At 40.6% G+C, this 23,869-nt stretch overlaps 2 long non-coding RNA genes and 1 pseudogene across 5 annotated transcripts in view; 1 reads left to right on the top strand and 2 right to left on the bottom strand.

The window, feature by feature from the left end:
• Positions 1 to 9,541: 9,541 nt before the first annotated feature.
• On the bottom strand, positions 9,542 to 10,882 carry LINC02658 (long intergenic non-protein coding RNA 2658). 2 transcript variants are annotated; one of them, NR_134483.1, is made up of 2 exons: positions 10,562 to 10,882; positions 9,542 to 9,830 (listed from the first exon to the last, which is right to left on the bottom strand). It is a non-coding gene; the product is annotated as a long intergenic non-protein coding RNA 2658 (long non-coding RNA). The 2 variants fall into 2 exon arrangements; NR_134484.1 differs by having other exon boundaries at positions 10,687 to 10,805.
• Positions 10,883 to 10,925: 43 nt separating this feature from the next.
• Positions 10,926 to 23,869, top strand: part of LOC105378275 (uncharacterized) — a 39,799-nt gene continuing 26,855 nt past the window's right edge. Inside the window, exon 1 of one of the 2 annotated variants that reach the window (XR_945906.4) lies at positions 10,926 to 11,863. This is a non-coding gene — a long non-coding RNA (uncharacterized LOC105378275). Of the gene's footprint in view, positions 11,864 to 15,524; positions 15,616 to 23,869 lie in introns of those variants that run through there. The other variant, XR_945907.2, reaches the window with a different exon arrangement.
• HNRNPA3P1 (heterogeneous nuclear ribonucleoprotein A3 pseudogene 1) lies at positions 19,392 to 22,397 on the bottom strand (annotated as a pseudogene). The gene has a single exon (NR_002726.2). The product of NR_002726.2 is annotated as a heterogeneous nuclear ribonucleoprotein A3 pseudogene 1 (transcript).

Here is a 23,869-nt window from a genome sequence, read left to right on the forward strand (position 1 = left end):
ACAATTGCTACGTCCTCTTGATGAATTCACCCTTTTATCAATATGAAAAGACCATTATTATCCCTGATAATATTCTTTGCACTGAAATCTACTTTGTCTGATATTACTATAGTCAGTCCAATTTTCTTTAGATTAGTGCTAGCATGGTCTATGTTTTCCATTCTTTTTCTCTTATTGTTTTTGTGACTATTTTTGTTAGTATCTCTGTGTATTTTTAAACTGTTACTAAATGCCTACAAATTGAGGATGTATATATTATCTTAATGAATTGATCCATTTAACACTTTGAAATGGTATTTTTTATCTTTAGTAACACACTTTGCTCTGAAATCCACCTTGTCTGATATTAATATGGCCTCTTTAGCTTTCTTTGTATCAGTGTTAGCATGGTATATTTTTTCCCCTCATTTTTAATCTATTTGTGTCTTTATGTAAAATGCATTTTTGATTATATATGTATTTTGAAAATTGATTATTTATTGCATGTACTTAAGATATACAACATGATGTTTTGATATACATATACATACTGAAATGACAACAGGTAAACAAATTAATATATCTATAATTTTCCACAGTAATCTCTGTTTTTGTGGTAAGAGCACCTAAAATCTACTTTGCCAGCAAATTTTCAATATATAATACAATATTATTAACTATAGTCCTCTTGCTGTACATTAGTTCTTTAGACTTACTCATCTTACCTAACTGCAAATTTGTACCTTTGACCTACGTCTCCCCATTCCTTCCCCATCCTACCCTGAAAACCACTATTCTACTCTCTGTAGAAAGAGTAAAATTTTTTGGATTGCACATGTAAGTGAGATCATGCACTGTTTTTATTTTTGTGTCTGGTTTTCTTCACTTAACATGATGTCTTCTAGGTTCATCCATGTTATTGTAAATGGCAGTATATCCTTTTTAAAGGTTGAATAGTATTTCATTATGTAAGTATACCACAGTTTCTTCATTCATTCATCCATTGATGGACAGTTACATTGTTTTAATATCTTGGCTATTGTAAATAATGCCACAAGGAATATGGGACACAGATATCTTTATGAAGTGCTGATTTCATTTCCTTTGTGTATACACTCAGCAGAGGGATTGCTGGGTCACGTGGTAGTCCTATATTTAATATTTCAAAGAACCTCTGTACCATTTTCCATAATGGCCATACCAATTTACATTTGCACCAACAGCATACAAGAGATCCCTTTTCTGCACACCCATGCCAGCGCTTGTTATCTCTTGTTATTTATTTATTTATTAAATAATAGTCATTCTAACAGGTGTAAAGTGATATCTCATCATGGTTTTGATTTGCATTTCCCTGATGGTTAGTGATGTTGAGCACCTTTTCAGATACCTGTTGACCATTTTTATGTCTTACTTGGAAAAATATCTGTTCAGGTCATTGCCAATTTATTGATTGGGTTGTTTTTACTTTTTAGTTTGCTATTGAGTTGCATGAGTTCCCTGTATATTTTGGATATTAACCCATTATCAGATATATGGCTTGAAAATATTTTCTCCCAATCCATTGGCTACCTTTTCATCTTGTTAGTTTTTTTTTTTGCTGTACAGAAGCTGTTAGTTTGGTGTAGTTTCATTTTTTATTTTTGCATCACTGCCAGAACTTTTTGTGTGATATTCAAAAAATCATTGCCAAAACCAATAACAAGGAGTTTTCCCTCTATATTTTCTTCTAGGAGTTTTATTGTTTCAGGTCTTATGTTTAAGTCTTTAATCCATTTTGAGTTAATTTTTGTGTATGATGTAAGTATCCAATTTTATTCTTTTGTATGTAAACCATATGTTTATTGGCCATTTATATATCTCCTTTTGAGAAATGTCTGTTTATATAATTTTAAATTTATATTTTCCCAATACCATTAATGAAAAGACTATCTTTCTCCCCATTGTGCCTTCTTGATGTGCTTGTCAAAAATTATTTGACTATATTTGCTTGGTTTTATTTCTGAGCTCTCTATTCTGTTCCACTGGTCTATTTGCCTGTTTTTTTTTTTTTTTTTTGTTTTGCTTTTGGTCAGTAACATACTCTTTTGATTATTATAGCTTGGTACTATAATTTGAAATCCAAAAGTGTGATGTCTCCAACTTTGTTACTCTTTCTTAAGGCTGTCTTGGCTATTTGGTATCTCTTGTGGTTCCATATATATTTTAGAATTGCTTTTTTTATTTACTTAGAAATGCCATTGGGATTTTGATAGAGATTGCATTGAATCTGTATATTACTTTGAGTAGTATGGGGATTTTAACAATATTCATTACTCCAGTCCATAAACATCAGATATCTTTCCATTTGTTTGTGTCTTCTTTAATTTCTTTTCCCAATGTTTTTATACTTTTCAGTGTACAGGTCTTTCACTAACTTGGTTAAATATATTCCTAAGTATTTTATTCCTCTTGATGCTATCATAAGTGGGATTGTTTTCTTGACACTTTTTTCAGATAGACTGTTATTGGTGTAAAGAAGTGCAACTAATTTTTTATGTTAATTTTGAGTCCCACAACTTTATTAAGTGCATTTTTTGGGTCTTGATTTTTTGATTTTAGCTGACAATTTCTGTCTTCTAATTGGGCTATTTAGGTTATTTACATTTAATGTTATCATTGATATTGTTAGGCTTAAATCTGTCATCTCATTTATTCTGTATTTTTCTCATGAGTGTTTCCCTTTTATTTGTATGCCTTTTTAAGATTTATTAAATATTTCGTATAATTCCATTTTATGTCAATTTTTGCCTGCTAGTGATAGTTATGATTTGTGATAGTTATTTGTTTTGTTATTTTAGTATTTTAGTGGTTACTTTAGAGTTTATAGTATATATCTTTAATTTATTGCAGTCTGTCTTTAACTAATATTATACCATTTCATGAATACTTAATAAAGCCCTATAATAGTATACTTCCATTTCTGCTCTCCTGGCATTGTGCTATTATTGTCATACGTTTAACATCTACATATGTTATATAAACCTTATGCTATAGTTATTTTTGTTTAAATACTTAATATTTACTCTTTAAACAAAGATATTTAAATAATATTCAAGATATTTAAATAATAAAACATATTTTACTTTTGTTTTTACCAGTCTCCATGCTCTTCATACACTTTTACAGATCCACATTTCCATCTGGTACTTTCTTTGTCATTTCTGTATATTTTGCATTTGCTGGTGAATTAAATGATTTCAACTTTCATATGACTGAAAGTCCTTATTTTGTCCTTAATTTTGAAACATAATTACACTTTACAAATCATAACCATTACTAATAAGCAAAAACAGACATAAAATGGGATCATATAAAATATTTAATTTTAAAAAGGCATACATATAGGGGGAAACAAAGAATTGATGAGAAAAAAACAAAACAAATGAGATGATAGATTTAAACCTAACAATATGAAGGATGTAGAATTCTTATTTCACCAGTTTTTCTTTTTGCTCACCTCTACCTTAAAAATTTGCTCTATTGCATTCTCTTTGCTCTATTGCATCCTCTATTGCATTCTTGTTTGAATAGTTTTCAGTAAGAAATTTGTTATCCTTGTCTTTGATTACCTGTATATGACATACCTTTCATTCTCTGGCTACTTAAAAAATATACTCTTTATCACTGTTTTCAAGAAATTTGTTTATGATGTACCTCAGTGTAGTTTTCTTCATATTTCTTATGCTTGGGGTTCATTCAGCTTCTTAGATCTGTGAATTTATAATTTTCCTTAAATTTGGAAAATTCCAGTCCTCATTTCTTTAAATATTTATTTTCTCTCCTCGTTCTCTTCCCCTTTAGAGACTCGACTTACATGTATGCCAGACTGCTTGAAGTTGTGCTGCAGCTTACCCATGAGCTGTTTACTTTAACAATTTTATTTTTTTTCTGTTTGATTTTGAGCCATTAAAGGGAAAGGTAGCAGTTTCAAGGAACTTACAAAGGAAAATGGCATATTTACTTTGATAAGCTGTAATTAAAAAAAAATAAGTCAGGTCTTTCCTGTCCAAAACAGTGGCTATCAAAAAATAAGAGAGCTTTTGTAAAAACTGGCAAATGTCAGATTATTCCTTGTTGAAGGAAACGGTTTATTTTTGTGTAGAGATTTTCCCTGCCTGAATTTACTGATTTTCTCTCCATTGTGTTATTTGACATGCTCCTCTATTCTCTGTATTTCATGTAGATTGGTAGATAGATCTGGATGATACAATTTTTTTGACAAGAATATTTCATAGGTAGTTGTGTACTTCAACAACGAAGCACATAATGTCTGATTTTTCTCTTGTGATGTTAACAGCCTTTGACAGTCATCATTATCACTCCATATGGCAATTTAGTTCCAGTAGACGCCTCATGAGTGACTCATGGGAGTAAGATGTGTTGAGTTTTTGCTTTTTTTTTTTAATAAGAGACTGCCTTAAGCCTTTAAATATTAGTCTAACTGGATGTAAAATCCCTGGCCTCATTCATTTCCTTGAGCATATTAAATATGTAATTCCATTGTCATTTGGCACAAAATGTTGCTGTTAAAATGTCTGATGCCAATCTGATATTTCTTCCATTTTAAATGTTTTGTTATTTTTGTCTGGTGTTATCCACACAAACAAAATAGTTTTTGAAAAATAAGTACTCTATTTCAAAATTTCAACTACTGTTCTCAGATTGACCTGTCTTGCTAATTTGTACTTTTTGGAATTTTTTTGTTTGTTGGTTGCCAGTGTTACTAGAAGTGTCATTGTCTCATGCAGCTCACATAGCTGTAAGTGGCTTGTTCCTGCTTTATAATTTTGGGTTTATGAAGATACGTTGTCATCTAGATGTTTTAGTATATATTATATTGCCTATGGGCTTTTGGGTCTTCCTAGGAGCTCTGTTTATAAGGACAGGGGCTCTCAGGAGAATTCACAAACAATGCATATGCCATTATACCTGTTTTCTCAATCTTCCTAGTAGGTTTTGAAAATCTTGGATGTGAGTTTTGTTGGTGTCTTTGTTTGTATTTTCTTTTGTTTTGGTGTTCATGACTTTTAGGGTACGTTGGCTTTTCCCTCATTTCCCTAACTTAGACCCACAGCTGCTGACCTCCCACACTCCTGCTCACCACTACTTTTATTCAGGTCATAAAGGACTCTCCATTACCTGGTGGTGTTGAAGATGTTATCCATAGATTCATTTTTTCCACTTTCATATTTGATCTGTTTAGTTTTAAGGAGTTTGGAACATTAAAAAAACTACCCTGCTGCTATGGTCAGTCATATCATTGGAAGTTTATGGAACTTTTTTTCCATATGGAAGTTAATGGAAATTTGTAAAAGTTTTATCACACCATAAATGTCACTATGTCATACTGGTAGTTCCTTTTTTTACACTTAAATTGTTTTTGGAATTTATCCCTGTCGATCTATATATATATATATATATATATATATATATATAATTTTACAATTTCTCTGTGATATTTTCCCCTTGTATCAATATGCCACATTTAATTCACCAACTCACCTATTCATTTGCATTTCTGCTATTTCAGATTTTTCACTATAACGAAAAAGACTGCAGTAAAAATTCTGATATATTTCTGTTTGAGATCATATGATAGTTACTACAGTGTTTATTTATAAAAATTCATATTTAACCTTTCAAAAATTAAATCACCTAAAAGAGCTTTGTAAATGGAACATGGTATACAAATATCACATACTTTAATTATCTGAGATTTTGGCATTTTCTGATTTTTACAAAAGATCTCTTCCTTTTTGATAGCTGCTTTTTTGAACACGAAAGACTTGACTTTATTTTTTTTTAATGACAGCTTATCAATGTAAACATCCCATTTCCCATTACAAGTTTCTTGAAACTGCTTCCTTTCCCTTTAATGACTCAACAGAGCACACATAAAGAACTGCACAAACACATGCACACCCCAGAGAGCTTTGTGTGAAAATCTCTGTGTTGGTAGTTTTCTGTGGTGGTTACCCTTTTAGTTTGCTCTAAAACATCCTAAAAAGAGTAAGGAAGGATATATTGGATTCCCTTCCAGGCTCTTCCATCCTATATCCATGTGCTTGGGGTTTCTGATGGGCTCCCAGCATTTCCAGCCAGGCAACTTTGCCTGGACAGAAACAAGATTTCTTAGTTTGTACAATATTTATTAATGAATAAGTGAGCCTGACTCTTTGGCCTGGAGTCCTTTGCTTTTCATTTGGGTAAATTAACTTAGGAACACTAAATTCAACTCATTGAATTTCCTGTGTATTATTTTGTTGAGGAAGCAGTGATCGTAGTGTTTTTAGATATGGTCCAGGCAGCTGTGACTGCCCCAGATGAGGGTAAGAACATTTCTGTTTTCCCCCGGCTGAGACCTCACACGTTGGTCTCAGTCTCAAAGGGAAAAGCCACCAGCTGTTTGATAAATGTGTTCATTTGTTCATTCACTTGACATGCCTTTATGGAACACCTGCTGTGTGGCCGGCTGTGGTAGAAGCTCAGGATGCAAACACGATGATGATGATGATGATGATGATGATGATGATGATGATGATGATCACACTGAGCACAATGATGATGGGTTTAGATGTGCTTGTTTCCTGGTAATAGATGGAGAATATTTTTTCCATTGCATGAATATACTACATTTAATTGATCAATTTTACAATTCATGCACATTTAGGATGTTTGTTCCAATGATTTACATGATTAGCTGCTTTCATCTTCACAATAATCCTAGAGGTTGGCAATATTGTTCTCGCCCCTATTTTACAGACGGGAGAAGGAAGGCACAGAGAGTGAAGCAGTTTTCTTGTAAGTGCTCTTATGTGGTGAGCCTGGGATCCCATCCTAGGCAGCCTTATTCCAAAGACCACATGCTCAAGAACTCTCCTCTCTCCACCTGTCCAGAAGTAGTTGCTGTCCTAAGGAATTCACAGGCTAAGAGCTCAACATGCAAATAAGTCACTTATAGTACATAGTAGTAAGAAACAATAGCTGACCACTTAGACAGGCGTAGCCCAGAGAAGAGGGGACTAGCTCACCTCTGCAGGTAGGAGGAAGTCTGCTGGGGAGACTCCTTGTTTTGAAGGATACATAGGCTCAGCCCAATCAATTCGGACTCCTAGAGAAGGCGTTTGTACATGGCAGTGGGGGACTATGTGGACAGTGTGAGCAGTGGTGGACTATGTTGACAGTGTGAGCTCACCTACAGCAGGGCAGTGCGGAGGAACAGGAGGCTCCCCAAGAGAGTCCACTTGGGGTCAGAAGTTCAGGCCCTGCCACTCTGCCTCTCACGACCTCTGGCAAGTCACTTAGCTCTCCTGATGTGGTCTTCACTTAATCTCACACATTGGTCTCAGTCTCAAAGGGAATAATCAATGCAGAAGTTCCTTGTAAATGGCAAAGTGCTGGGCACTGTGACGGCTGCTACCACTCCCTGGAAAGGACAAATGAGGCCTGGCGGGTCTCATTGGGGGCAGCGTGAATCATGGCTCTATCGCCTTGCTCCAGTGACTGCCTCGTAAAGCTTCATCTAATCCCTAGGTTCCAGCCTTGAGCTCCTCAGGAAAGGTGTCAAGTATCACGTTTCACCACGAACTGTTGGTGTTGACCTGACAGTCAGGGCCTGGCCAGCGAGCTGAGGCTGCGCTTCTCCACGCCACTCAGCCATGGTCCCCTTTCTTCCTCCATAGGCAGAAAGCATCTGTTTCTGTACAATAAAGAGAGCGGCTCCACTGATAACACAGTCGCTCAACCGGCCCCAACCACCAGAACAGTAGCACTGGTTAACTCTGTGCACAGAAGCAGGGACTTTCCCTAAAGTAGTTCTCAGAAACTGGGAAAGTAAGACTGGGCTGAGGGTTTATCCTAGAAGAATGTGTCAGGATAGCCCCTTTATTAAGAGGTTTCATCCATGATTCAATCTATAATTCCAAGAACTCTCATTTTTTAGACTTAACAAGCTCTCCATCAATAATGGCTGGAGAAAGACTAAAGAGCATATTTTAAAAACTGAAACCTGCAATCTCCTGATGATGGAGACCAAAAATGGAAATAATCACACAGATTTCTCTAGGTCCTCAGGCCCTCCAGGTTTCCCAGGCTCCCTCTTGAGAGAGCTACATTCCATTCAGACCAGGGGGAATTTACATTGAGGGATCCGTCTCATTGTACTCTGCTGAACCTAGCAGCCAAGCTGGCCAGAAGAGTCCTCACTTGCATGGCAGGTGCTGACATTGGCAGGGAAGCCTTCCCCAATCCAGCTCTGTGTCATTCTTGGGAATGGGCAGTGGCCCGTGTGTTCTCCTGAGGTTGGAGTAGTTTCCTTCCCTGGCGAAGCTGCAGTGAGGAGGCCACCGGGCATGGCAGTCTGGAGTTCAGTGTGTCCTGTGCTTGCTGTAGAGCTCCCTTTCACTCTGGGTCTGCTGGGAATATGTGATCATGAAATGCACTGAGAAGAGGCAGCACCACATCTTTGGATAAAGATGCTCCATCAAACTAACCGACTAAGGTCATGACCCCAGGGTGATCCCTAAACCCAGAGCCATGGCCACCCTGGACCTCCCCACCCAGCCATGCTACCTGTGTCTAGGCCTGGGGGCAACTCAGCTCTGCTTCTCTCAGAAGCTTCTGGTCAAAGAATGGTCTGTCCTGCCTTGGCTGTGGTAAGGCTGCCACACAACCCATTTTAGGAAACTTTCATGGTGATGGTTGGGTTGGACGACCTGCTGCCTTTAACTCAGTGTCCTGGATGTCACCTGAAAGGCATCGGCTTCACAACATCCTAGACCTTAAGGCTCTGAGCCCCCCACTTGCTTCCTGGCAATGTGTGCTTAGTCAGCCTCATGGCTGCTTCAAGCTTCCCACTTACGATGCCTCTATCTTTGTTCAAGTCCTTTTTAACATATTTCGTTCCTCCAAATTGTGTAATTTGAATTTGGTTTTACTTTGACTGACTATGATATTTTATGGAAACACATGATGATAAGCCCCCAGCAACTTGCATCTCCCTTAGCTGAAGTGTGAGTTGGAGCCCTGAGCTGCACACTTCGATGGTGCTGAAAGAGGGTCCTGGAGAGGCAAGCAGGTGCATTTGGGCATGCGCAGCCCTGGCCAGCTATATCCTTTGCTGTATTCTTCTCAGCGTATGGCCCTCCAGACCTCCTAGCTCGCTCACAGTCATAGCCAAAGTCACGTTTTGCCCTCATCTACTCCCCTTCCCCTACTCCATGGGGCACACCGGCCTCCTGCCTCCTTGGCCATGCAAGGCACTGGCTCACCTGCCTGGACACCTTTGCACACCTGTCTACAGGATGGCGCCATCACCTCCTCCAGGTCTTTGCCCAAAAGTCACCTTCTTGGGGACTTGTTCTTTACCATTTGATTATTTAAAATTACAGCAGATTCCTAGAACCAACCATCCCTTTTGCTCTCTCTCTCTCTCTTTTTTTTTTTGCCCTTCTCACCATTGGGCATGCTCTTTACTGATTGTGTATTTCTCCCAGCCACTGTGTAACCCTTAGAAGACAGATTTTTTTCTTTACAACTTTTATTTTCGGCTCAAGGGGTACAAGTGCAGGTTTTTTACACGGGTAAATTGCGTGTTGTGGGGGTTTGACGTACAGATTACTTTGTCTCTAATAAGGAATAAGCACAATACCCCATGGGTAGTTTTTAATCCTCATGCTCCATCTTCTGCCCTCAGGTAGGCGCGGCAGTCCTTGTTCCCTTTGTGTCTACACATATGCAGTGATCAGCTCCCACGTCCATATGAGATCATGGAGGACAGGTGTCTGCCTGGTTTGTTACCTTCCCAGTACCTGGGCAAGAGTATCCATGAACTAATGTGGAATACATACCTTCTAAGGAATAAATGAACATTATATCCTCATATTATATAAAGAATATCATTTGAAGTATTTCTCCTTGTGTAACATCTCTCTAAGTAAAAATTAAATTTCTCTAGTAGAATAACTTTAAAACAACACAAAACTTCATTTATCCATAGATATATATTTAAGCCATCTTTTTACTTTTTTGTAAAAGTTTTGAAAAACTTTTTCTTTCAGGCAATAAAAGTAATTCAGAATCATTGTAAAGAGTTTTTAGAAAGTACTGTTATTTTTAAAATTAGTAATTAGTAATAATGCCAGAGTTAACCACTGTTAGCACTTTGCTATATTTCCTTTTATATTTTTATCTATGCTGCACATTTGCATAGACACACACACATGCTTCTATAAATACTTAATGGTATTTGTCTACACACATATGTATATATATATATTTAGGTTGGAATTGTACTATGTTTACTTTTATCATGTACTATGCCAAGAACATATTATATATTGTTCATTGCTGGTCTTTCTGGAACACTATGTTCAGAGATATACTATCATTTCACCACATATAATCTATCATAATTTAACTAATATGCTATTGTGGATAATAAGTGTTTTCATTTTCATTATCTATTGAGTTTATTGGTCTTTAACAGCTCTTACTTTTATTTATTCTAATTCCTTTAGCTTATTTTGCTTGTATATTTTACCTCTCAATAACCTTCAAAGTTTAGTCTTTTGTCCTTATGTTCTTTCAAAATGGCATTTTCTTGACTCTCAGTGGTTTCGTCCCATGGCCTGTTTACCTTTAGTTCCTTGATTCTATCTGTCTCACCTTCCTTGTATTTTCTAGAGTAGATCTCATTTCCGGGATGTGTTTCCTGGCAGGCTTTCACTGTGGTGAAGTGGGAACAACGTGACCCCACAGCCCACTTCCTACTCTGTCAGAACCTTCTCCTCAAAGAGCACGCTCAGGACCTGGGGTTCTTCCCCCTGTGGCTGGCTAGGTCACAGTGCCCTCTGGAATCATGTTCCCAGCCATCCCTTGCTGAGAGAGGAACATTCCATGTTCTAGAGTCTCTAACATGTGCAGCCTCTGATGAGGAGCAAGAATGCCCCCTCTCATCCAGCCTTGTCAGGGCCAAGTGAAAGAAGCCCGGGCAGGCCTGGGGAAGCTGCCCAAGGAGCCTCAGTAGTCAATGCTGGCATCGTTTCTCTCTCAGCCCCGTCTCTGTCACTTTGAAGCTTTCTACTGGTTTCCTTTGAGTCCCCTCAGCTCCCCAGTCAGATCAAGGAAGAGCTGGTTGTTGCTTTCACAGACTTCAGGGGCAAGCAGATCTGAGTACCTCGGGGGTCAAACAGACCTGCCCCAACCACAGCGTTGAAGAGGAGATCCATTTCCTAAAAATGGGGGGAGACGGCTATTGGTGGGATACTCTATTCACATCTGTCTCCACTGCATGTCTACAGAACGGCTCCCTGTAGTCTGGGAGTAGCGTTCCCTGGCTTCTCTGAGCTTCCTGCGGTCCACGAAAGGCTGTTTCCCTTGACAGAAGCCTTTCCTCTTCTTCCATATCTGGTTGACTGCATGTCCTTTGGAGCCAGCCCTCTGGACTGAGGACTTGAATCTCTGATTAATCCGCCCAGTACTCAGCTCCATGGCCTCAGTGGTGTCCACGAGACTCTTGACACGGGACCTATTCACAAGGGAAGGCACCTCCCCACAGATGCACCTGAAAGCCGTGGACCCTGTGATTCTCAGGAATTCGGCTGACTGATGGAGCAATCCTTCCCACACGGGTGAAGGTGGAGGACTCCCCTTGACCCAGACACACGGGTATTCCGTGAGTTTCTTGACGGTGCCAGTTCCTCTGAAGTATGGATTTTACTCCTTGGTGTTGTCTGATTAGATAAACTCTCCAAGATAAAGATCCGGATATATTGGCAAGGGACCTGGCTTTTAGAAAACATATTCCTCAGATTTAAAGTTGTAGGCCCTCTTTTCTCTCCAGGTATGTGAAGAAAATACCTTTGGCAAAGGTCTTGGTGGGCTGGCGCCTGTATCTGCTTAGCTTCTGGAAGAACTGGCTCGTGCACTGAGAATCTGCTTCTTCCATATCTGGCTAGAAGTCTCATTAGATGTATGATCTACAGTCTGGCCAGGGTGCATTCCATCTACTCGGCTTCTGGGTCCCATTGCAATCCAACTTTAACCTTGATTCTCTGCCCCAGGAGAGGGATGGTTATCTGAGAAGACCCATCATTAGGCCCAGCCTTGGGCTCCTGGGCCCACCTGCAGCCAGTGGGCCATCCTCTGGGTGGTTTGCAGCCACAGTTGGGAGGGAGGTTGAGTTCAAGGGTTTGCTAGTTTGTAAGTGAATTTTATTGCTGTAACATCATTCTCACTCACTTGCCCTCTGACGTGCTTTCTTGGGCAGGAGGGAAGGTCAGGGTGACTCAGTGGTGCAGAAATTATCTTGATTCCTGGGCACCCCCTGGACCCCACCTGGGCCTCTGGTCCAAGGAAAGCAACGACACTCACGTTAGGGCCCTGAATACTCAAGTCCAGCCTCTGCCTTTTTGTAAATAGTAAATCTACCCGAGGTTATGTACATCCCAAAGGGGAAATGTGCCTTTTCCACCCTGTTACACAGCGTGGAGGTGCATTTACAACTTGAATGTGAGAAATTCACCCCCAGCTGGACACCAAGGCCAAAGGGCCTTCTTACTGTCAGGCTTCTCTGCTGCAGGCCTGATGTGCATGGCAGACTCACACCTCTGATGATCTCAGCCAGACGAGACGAGGGCCATTAAGGTGGGAATTCAATTTCTGGACTTCAGTTATACCATGAAATGTTATGTGGCTATTTAAAAAGCATGCTTTTGGAGTTATTTTAAGACATGGGAAGATGTTCTTAGTACATTACAAAGTTGAAGAAAAGGACAGGGCCCTAAGCTGCTTCCTCAGTAAGACCCCCATTTTGTTATCTGTATATATAGCCATATCAAAATGCTGATGATAGATATTTTTGGGTGACTTCATTATAGGTACTTTCTAATATTTTTCAAATATCTACAGTGTATGTGAATTATTTTGTAATGAGAAAAGACACATTGTTGAATTAGTATAAGTTTTGTTAAAAAAAACTGTATTAAAATTATGAGTTTCATAATTTATAATGAACCCCCACCCACAGACCCATCACCCATTCTCAAAAATTACCCCAACTATGGGCTAATCTTATTTCATCTATGCCACCATCTACTTCTCTCCTGCTCATATTACTATTTTTAAATTAACAGACAATTTTTGAGAGCAGTTTTTGGCTTAAAAAAGTGGAGCAGACACAATGGAGAGTTCCCACATGCTCTCCCCTGACCCCAGTTTCCCTATTACAAACATATTGCATTAATGTGGAATGTTTGTACAATGGATGAACCAATACTGATGAATTCTTATTAATTAAAGTCCCTAGGTTACTGTAGGGTTCACTCTTTGTTTTGTATAGTTCCGTGAACACAGGTTTTTAGCTTTTTTTATTCCACAACTTATCAAGTGGATTATTCCCAAGACTACAAATGTCTGAACCAACTTAACTATTTGAAGTATCTAAATTGCATTCCAACTACAATCCAGGAACAAGTGAGGTGATGAAGAAGCCCTTTAGAAACATCTGAAAAGCACAAAGTTGAGAACACAGCAGCCACATTGAAATCTCCATCCCTAGTATATGAGTATAAAGCAACAGCAGTGTGGGTTGCTGGTGCTGATGTGTGGGGGCTGGGTTGTAGGGCTGCGCCTGCTGCCTGGGGAAGGTGAGCCTCACTCCTCCGGGAACAGTAACTTTAACTGGAGCACAGTTGTTGAGGCAGTGGGAGTGGGAAGGAGCGTGCAGAATGTTCTCCAAGACTGATTGGAGCCAGAACCTACAAAGGGGATTAAAAAAAATTAAAAAGTAATCCTGGAAGCCTAATGAAACAGAGACTTTCTCAGCAGTGGAATGGGGGAGCAATGCCCAGCCATGATGTCACCATGGCCGGCCAGGCAGCTCTTTCCAGACACCTGCCAGACGCTAATTAGTCCAGGCCTCCAGAGCAGGGATCCGGGTGGGAGCAGAGGGAGCAGAGGTCATTTTCCCCAGGACATTTGCAACCTGTCAGAGTTTAATGCCCTCTCCCCACAACCAGCCTACAGTAGAGTTTTGGTTTCTATATGCAGAAGGGGACAAAAATTGTCATAGCCAGCTGACTCAGCCCCTAAATTAATCATGCCAGTTGTGGTAGAGACCACATTGACTGTTTGCTCTTCAACAATCTCACTGATAAGCACTTCCTGCATGGGGCCAGGCTTCTGGGAGGCACTGGTGGCAAGACAGGGCAGGCTCTGCAGGGGCACTGACCTCCCACTGCAGGACACCAAGCCCCTGAAGACAGTGGGGGCTGCTCTTTATTTGCTTATTTCCAGGGGCCCCACCAGCCTTCACTTTGCCCTGTGTAGCCAAAGGGCCATGTGCATGCACAGACACATGTCATCTGGGTTTCCTGAGAGTGGAGGAGACCAAAACTGAATTCTGAGTTTCCAAGTTTCCAAATATTCAGCCCGTCATGATGGTGTGGGCAAGCCCTCCTGTGTGGATGGAGTCACAGAGAGCCGGACGCTGCTTCCTTCCACCTTCTTTTGGGGCCACAGCTAGACGTCAGTCACTTCTCAGCAGTGGGCCTCACCCCTTCCCAGCCAGGAGCACCAAACTCAACCCAGGACCATTCAGATTCTTAGGCTACTTTAGAGAATCTGTACAAACCTATATAGAAAAGCAATTAGGAAACTTTAAAAAGAAAACTAGGAGAAGGGACTAGCTCTACATGATTCCAAAATATATTTTAGGTTTCCATGGAAAATGGCACCTGGTAAGAATTCCAGATACAACCTCCTCTCCCTTTCCATGAAAAGACCTAGGAAGAAACAGAAACGCTTGGATACTAACAGATTCTTACTGCATGTGTATTGCATACCAGGTATCATGCTGGGTACTTCCAGCAGCTCATCAAGGTTGGCGGAGTAACTGACCCCACTTACAGAGGACACCCACCCGCCCAGGCATGCACAACCCCACAGACTCAGCCAGCAAGGGGCACGATGGGTGTCATGTCTAGCCCTTCCTGGACCCCAGGGCTGTGCTCCTACTGAGGCCACTCACCTGGTCTTCAGAATCCTGGGGGAATTTCCACAGCATGGGAACCTAAGGGGCTGAACCAAGAATCACGTGCAGAAGCTGGCAGTGTCTGAGCCTGGGACAGATAGGGAGGGACAACGGCTTGGGGCCTGTGGTCATCTCTCCCCTCACAGGCCCATGTTGTTGGCTCTCAGGCCACTGAGCAGTCTTAGGTCTGAGCTGTGGTTACTTTCTGGAGGTTTCATAGAAAGGCTTTGATAGCTGACCTCAATCATTGTCTCCTAGCCCAAGATGGAGCAAATCCATCAGCCTAGTTCAAAGGCCAGTAACTTCCTCTGTCATGGCTCAAAACCCAGGCCACGACCAAGCCCTGCCATGCCTGGCAAGGGAACGACTCTTGGCGTTGACCAGAGAACTGCTCCCTGTACTGTTTCCCTGACCTCTTTCCTCCACCTGATTTCCCCATAAACCTTCTCTTTCTAAATCTGTTCAGGGGAGCCAGAGAGTAGCGGAGGAGAGGTAGCAGCGCTGTCTCCCAATTCTTCCCTCGCAGTCAGCCCCTGCAATGTCTTCTCTACATAGTAGCTATGGTAAGACTTTTAAAACATACATTCAGCTCTGCACCTCCTCTGCTGGTGCTCTCAAATAGCCCCATGGCTTCTCGTGTTGGAAAAGCCTCTCCTCCCTACCCATTCCACTCCTGACTCTGGAGGCCTTGCTCTTCCTGCAAATACCAGGTGAGCTCTGGCTTCAGGGCCTTTGTGTATGCTGGGCCTCCTCCTAGGATGCACTTTGGCCAAGTGTGCTCATGCTCTTCTATGTCCACTGTTGGCTTGGACAAGGATGAGTTCTCTTTGTCTTTTAACAAATGAGGACCTCGGTTTCTGAAATACTGGTAATGTAAAAAAAGAGTTCTGGCTTGAACTTGAGAAGTTGATTTTGTCTGACCTTATGAAATCTCTTGAGAATACACAAGAGTGATTCAATGAAGGGGAAGTGAACTGATCTTCCCTCTCTTAAGTGATCCACCAAGGAGAGGAAGGGAATCCAGAACTTTCAGGAGCAAAGTCATATGTTGGAAAGGTGTCCATCATATATTCATTCAATAGACACCTACTGAGCACTGAGCTTGTGAGTTAGGAGGTGGGGACCCCACCCTGAATCAGAGAGCAGTCCTTCTGTCAATGAGCTGATGGCTGGCCTAACTGAAGAGACAAATATTAAGTGACTATACAAATAATTATAAAATCCTAAGTATCATAAGTGCAGTGAAGGTGACATGGGCAGTTTTAGGTCTGTCTGGGAGGCCAGGAAGGGCTTCCCCAGAAAAGGGACATTCGTTGTAGAATATGAAGGATAAGTTGGAGAGATGCTGAGCAGCACTGCGAGATCCATGGCTTCCACCCTTCAGTGCACACTAGTAACATTCAGTGAAACAGAAAACACCAGGAGACAGGAAGGCCAGGTGTGGGTAGATGGGGAAAGGAATAAGTTCTGTTTGGGACTTTACTGTGAGGTTCATTTGAGCCAGAGAAGAGCCAATATTAAGTATACAATTGGATATTACTAGATATACCAAGGACAATATGCAGACAAAAGCTTGGAAATGTGAGGAGTGGTCTGGCTCAAGGTACATGTTTGCGAGTCACTACCATGCTGTGCGGTAACCAAAGGCCTGGGTGCACACTAGTTCTTCTGAGGACAGAGTGCAGATGGCACAGAGAAGGGGGCCTGGGGGCCGCCTTGAGGAGCTCTAACATTCCAACTGTACGTAAAGAAGGATGAGCTTGCCAAGAAAGCAGAGACATTTCCTGATCAGCAGGAGGAAAAGCAGGAGATTGTGCTTTGAATGAAGTCGAGGGAGGATCCTTTGGACTATTGGTGTGACATTTTTGTAAGTCTAAAATTATTTCAAAACAAACAGTAAAAATCAGTTTATTAGGGCTTATTAGGATGGAGGAGGGCCCAGCTTCTCCATGATGGATAACTGCTTCCCATCAATAGGGACCTTCCTTAGTAGGGGTCCTCATCTTCTTCCGTATCCTCTTCAAAAAGCCACTTTAACTCCTCAAATCTTCTTCCTCCTTATGCCCCTATACTTATCTTTTCATCTAAACCAGTGTCATTCCAGGATGTAAACTGTGAAAAAGGGATAGATCATTTACTTTTCAACCCTTTATATTTAAAGAAATGCTATTGGCTTTTAAATGTATGCTACATTTTAATATATCCCCACTTATTTATTAAACAAACATATACATACATTTAATTGAGGACACTGGAGAAATTACTGCCAATTTGTACCAGTCAGGATAGGCCAGGTTTGATGATAACAAACAAGCCCCAAGTCCTGGGGGCTAAAAGAACAAAGGTTTGCTTCTTGCTCAAGTGCTCCATCTACTGTGGGTTGTGGGAGAGCTTGGCTTGTATTTATCACTCTAAGACCGCTCCAACTTGACACTTATTTCCATGATTGCTGTGGTGGGGAAGGCAGGGCTCAGTCAGGCACTGCATTAGGTACTTCAGCCTGGGAGCTACACACATCGTTTCTGCCCACCCTTCATTAGCTGCAGGCAGGCACTGGTTGTGCCTGACTTCAAGGGAGTGTGGAAGTATCCTTCCTGTGTACGTGAAATAGAAGAAATCCAGAACCAGTCCATGCAATGTAAGGTTCTACCACAAGCAATAAAAGTCAGTAAAATCACAACATTGTGGCAGAAACAGCTAATTGCTTAGTCAATGTTCATTCTTCTCTACTTCCTAAGAGCACCCTTGTATGTCAATACCTACTGAAAAGTATCTAACTCTACAGATACCTTAATAGCTAAGCGGGGGACATATGACCCAATTTTGGGTGTTTGGATGGAATCAGAAGTCACTAGGGGTGGGGCTTAAAGCAAAAAAATCTTTTTGGTGATCTGACAATGCTCGCTTGTGCCTTTGGCCTCTGTCCTTCCTCTGCCGTCCATCTTCTTCCTCCCATCTTGGCCCCTGGAAATGCTGGGAGCACAGCAGCCATCCTGTGATCCCAGCACAGGAGCCTCACTCTGAGGACGGCGGGGCAGGACTACTCATGGGGCCTGGTCTTGGTGACGGTGTTGAGCCTCTAGATCAGCCGTGGGCTGCTTCCCCAACATCGCTGCAGACAAATAAGCCAGCACTGTTAGGTTCTCTGTTACTTGCAGACAAACCCAATCTAAATGATGCAAATAAAATATTTTTATTACCACATACCAGAAATAATGATGTATTCATACAGTATAATTCTGGGCATTTTAGAAATATTTACAAAATTGTCACATTAACATCACCTTTCAGGTAGTTAAATGGCATGTAACTTTCTATAATGAATTTAGAACAATTTTTCTACAGGAAAACAGAGGGAAAATAAAATATTATCTACATGTAAGACCCACTTTGGGGAATAAGTTGTATGCTTTGAACTTCTTGTAAAACTAATCAATCTAGCCTAATAATTTAAGACATTAAAGTTAGTTATTCAAACATTGATAGTGATAAATATAGCAGTAGTATCCATTCCTTCTCCAAGTAATCAAGACATTATGGTTTATTGATGTAAATTATTTTTTAAACATGCAGTTCATTTAGCAATACATGTATTGACAGCTGCACCTTCAAAAAAACTTACAAAACCAGAGAACACAACATTAACTTGTTACTAAACTAAAACAAACTTAGCTGAGATAGTGTTTTGGAAATCATGAGGGACATAGCCTGCTCTTTGAAATGAAAACAAAGGCATTTATTGGGGCATAAAACTAAATTCATTATTTGGCAAATTTCTTGCTCAAATACCATGTCCACATGCATTTCTGTCCCAGCAATTCTGTTTTGTCGTGAATTATATATAACTTATTTTAATGTGTTTGCTTTACTTAAAAAAAGGAATGAATTATAGTAATCTTTTCATCATGCTTGCCTCACCAGAGAGGAGCTCTTAGCAGAGCTGTTCCAGGTATAAGAGCCCCACAGCAATCCTTCCGCCTTTCTGAAATGCCCGTGCAGGATGTTGAGGGCCTGTGGCCAGCGTTTTCTTTTCTTTTCTTCTTCTTTTTTAAAATCTCCCCCATTCATTTAAACTTTATTTATATGAATAAAAGAACTTGAGACAATTTAGCTCAATTTTAATGTTTCCCAAGCATTATTTTGACCAGGTACCCAGGTTTAAGTTATGAACATTGACAGTGTCCATTATATAACCACACTTGAAGTTATTAAGGACTTAACCATTTTCTAATATTAGCCTATTTTCTACACTGCTTTTCACATATATGCCCATTAAAAATGGAATGTCTGTTACATTTATTGGCTTGTGAGTGTTTCTGGAAAACTGCAGTAAGTGTGAAGGCCAATTTCCATGCTGGCATTGCATGCATCCAAATATTAATGCACGGAGGCACAGAATTAGAGCAACAAGAGAGCATATTCAAACACTAGCATGCGCCATTCCCCTTTTTATTGCTTGTTTGCTTAGTACTTCTTAAAACAGAAGGAAAGACTTGAATTCAACGTTCAACTACCAAAGAAGGAGTAACAGCAGGACACATACTCAGGACTTGAATGAAATTGTAAGCACTAGCTGAAGCAAAACAGTAGACATGGGTATATATCCATATATATATATATATATATGTATATATGTATATACCTATATATATACACACACATATATATACCTGTATATATATATATAAAATATCTCTATATATAGACATTGGTATATATCTATATATATCTATATATATACAGCCTTATTATCTAAAACTCTTCTCAACCAGGGCCTTCCCAACAAATTGGTAACAACATGATTTATGTTGAAATATACACAAGAAATAAGAGTGTGTTCTTTGTCTTTGGGAATTTAATAACTCAGACTATCCAAATTTGAATTCAGGTCTGTAGGAAGTGAGAAGCCTGTACTAAGCAACTGTCCTACATTTCTGCTGCAGTTAGGTTATTTTGGACAATTATACCTAAACTATCCTTGGTTTCATCCAGCAAAATGTATACAGTACAAACAGGAAAGCATGCCAGCCAGCTAGGGGTTTAATAACGCATGATTTTTATTCTCTTGGTCTGAAAAGTTGTATCAAAAAATGTAAACTAATGCAAATAACTCAAGATTTATGGGCCTCTTGTGCTTTAAAAAAGGAAAAAAGGTACCCACTAATTTGCTCAGATATAGCAGGCTTAATGGTTCTATATTTTGAAAAGTTTTTAAGAATGGTTTCTAATGTAGGAGAGGGAAAACATCCACTATACCTTTTCAGAATTTAAATGGAGGGCAGTAAACATTCTTTACACCCAAAACCTATGGCAGCAGTTCAAATTTGACCAAGGTAAATGTAGAATGGAGATGTTCTAAACACAGCTAGGACTCAGCAAGTCTAACACACTAAAATCATGTGATTACATTTTAAAAGAAAGTGCACAAAAACCAAAAAGAAATTTTGAGACTTTTTTATTTGAAGGTAATCTTAATGCTATTAAATTCACAAATGCTAATTTAAATACCCAATCCTATTTACCTAAAACACACATTGCAAACACACAAATTATCTGTTCTCTCCACATGTCGGCGTCCATTCATATCATGGTTTGGAAATGGGGAGAATAGATTCCCCTTAAACTGCAAGTCAGCAGGTGTTTCTTTACAGTTAACTTTAGCAAAATTTATACAAAATAGTAATTAACAATTGATCTTCTTTACTTGTTAACTCACAAGGAAACACCTTCAAAACTGCATTTTGTTAAAGTTTCTGTACTAAAATGTAGAAAAACTGAACTACACAGATATTGAAAAGTTAAAAATTCCTTAATTTTTTATTCCTGGTACCACTACCACAATTTACAGGGCAATATACCTGATGTAATGAAAAGAAAAAGAATAAGACAAAGCTACAACAGATAAAAGACCTGAGGAATGTACATCTAATTGACGCTACATTGCATTAATCGATAGCTGCACTTCCTGCAAACTGTGGCTATGACAGTCCTGAACAAGAAGGGTTTCCTGTTTAAGCTGCAGTAACTTTTCTGATTATGGATCATCGTTCCTTCTGTGACAGATTTTTACAGTTCCTCTAATGCACTTGGGACGACTGTCTCAAAGTAACCTGTAGCTTTCCTGACAACTCCTCACTCTCTCTCCTGCTAAGAACTGTAGCCCTTTCCTGCTGTTTTTAGAACCTTCTGCTACCATATCCACCACTTCCACCACCAGATCCATAACCACCACCATAGGGACTGCCCGAGCTTCTTCCACCAAAACTGCCCCCTTTCATGTGTCCATAATTTGATTGCTGTTGTCCACTGTAATTTCCAAAATCATTATAGTTCCCACCACCACCATAGTTACTACCGTCAAAATTTCCTCCTTCATTGTAACCATCATATCCTCCAACACCGCCACCATATCCACCACCTTGGTTTCCATATCCTGGTCCACCACCACCATACCCGCCTCTACTACTATAACCAGGACCACTGCCATAGTTGCCACCATCACCTCCTAATCCATTATATCCACATCACCTCCTCCATAACTACCTCTGCTGCCACCACCTCCACCACCATAGCCTCCTCTTCCACCAAAGTTTCCATCACGGCCAAAATTACCTCCACCACCTCCAAAGTTTCCTCTGTGACCCATACAATTGCCAGATCCACCTCCACGACCCCTCTGTGATCCAGCCGGCTGCATCACTTGTTTAGCAAGGGCCTTTTTCACTTCACAGTTATGCCCATTAATAGTGTGGTATTTCTGAACAACAATTTTATCAACTGTATCATGATCATCAAAAGTTACAGAAGCAAATCCTCTCTTTTTTCCACTCTGCCTGTCTTCCATAACTTCTATGGTTTCAATCTTGCCGTACTTTTCAAAGTAGTCTCTCAAATTATATTCTTCTGTATCTTCTTTAATACTGCCAACAAAAATTTTCTTCACTGTTAGATGGGCACCAGGCTTCACAGAATCCTCTCTAGAAACAGCTCTCTTTGGTTCCACTACACGCCCATCAACCTTGAATGGTCGAGCACGCATTGCTGCATCCACCTCTGTAACACAAGAATAAGTCACAAAACCAAAGCCCCTGGAACGTTTTGTTTGGGGGTCTCTCATTACCAGACAATCTGTGAGTGTGCCCCATTTCTCAAAATGTTCTCTTAAACTATCATCTGTAGTTTCAAAGCTCAGACCACCAATAAACAGTTTTCTCAGCTGCTCTGGTTCCTTTGGATCATGGCCCTCCTCCCCCCAGTGGCGACGGCGACTGCCGGAGTCGGGCTGGGGGCAACCAGGCGGCGGTTTTACCTCCATTTTGAGACAGGACTCACCTCTTCCAACTCGAGATCAATATGGGACCGAGAGGAAGGTGGCCAGCGTTTTCATTTAGGCAACTCTGCCTGGATCAGCACACTTTCCCTCTGCAGTTCAGGACTTACTCTGAACTTCATTGATAACTTGTGACTTCAGGAAAAACCACACTGTCTTGCAGTATCTCAATTGAGCCACTGACATGGACCTGAAAATGGCTTTTTAAATGGTTAGATGAGGCCGGAATGTACTTTTAGATCAAAAGTGAAGTAAGGAGGGGTCAGGAAAGATGAGAGTTGCTGGTAATTTTGGTGCTCTAGATGCCCTAGACCTGGGGAAGGGGGAATGGTCAGGGATGCTGGTTGGAAAACATGTTTTCCTGAGCTGTGGACATTTCAGTATTTCTCACTCCACATTTCTACCACTTTTGGTTGTTCTTTGAACATCTTTTGCATATTTTACTTGCATGCAAATATTCTCCCCAAATCCACTGTTTCAGTGCTAAGCAGCCCAGCTCCAGTCCCATCTTCTCTGGGAGCTTTCCAAATCTCATCATCTTCCTCTGAGATACCATAGCTTTCTGTCTGTGTTTGACTCTGCCATGTCTTGAGCCTGCTCTCTCACTGGTCTGCCAGCTCTTAGAAGGCTGGCATCATTATTCTTCTCTGACTGTCCCAGGTGTTTGGCACACAGTGGATGAACCTAGAAGGAGCTTCATGTGTGCTTGAACAGAATGAAAGGACAGCTGTGATTTTCTCCTGTGCGGCTGATGCCTTCTTTGTCCCATCCAGAAGCAGGATTGCATTGAGATCCCTGGAGTTGTCTCTGGCCCTTGTAAAATTAAATGCCAAGAGAACCTTGGTTAACAGAAGAAATGGAGAAGGACCAACTTCTAGTTTTCTGTGCCAGAGGTCAGTGCATTGCTTCTTCTCTGTGAATTGCTCTGACTTGCTGAATTGAAACTTTCTTTACTTTTGGGCAGATAAGAGTAATTTGGGGGCAGATAAGAGCTTCTGGGAAGTTGTTATTGCAAATGGCTTGGCAGTGATGCTGCTACACAATGGTTATCCAGGACTCGTTTTTTTCCTAGTTTGAGTTACTTAAAAAAAACCCTAAGAATTACTTGATTTAAAAATAATAGGTCAAGACCTTCTGGCACTACTGAAACTTCTGAGTGGGCCTCAGATGGTCGCTTGAGAATCTATTCAGACAACCCAGCAGTTGGCAGATGTAACACTCATCATGCCTCTGCACTCTTTTGTCATTAGTTGATTACATAACAAATATCAGTGGGCTGGGCGTGGTGGCTCAGGCCTGTAATCCCAGCACTTTGGAAGGCCGAGGTGAGTGGATCATGAGGTCAGGAGATCGAGACCATCCTGGCTAACACGGTGAAACCCCGTCTCTACTAAAAATACAAAAATTAGCCGGGCGTGGTGGTGGGTGCCTGTAGTCCCAGCTACTCGGGAGGCTGAGGCATGAACCCAGGAGGTGGAGCTTGCAGT

The sequence above is a fragment of the Homo sapiens genome, chromosome 10, assembly GCF_000001405.40.
Source record: "Homo sapiens chromosome 10, GRCh38.p14 Primary Assembly".
NCBI lineage: Eukaryota > Metazoa > Chordata > Mammalia > Primates > Hominidae > Homo > Homo sapiens.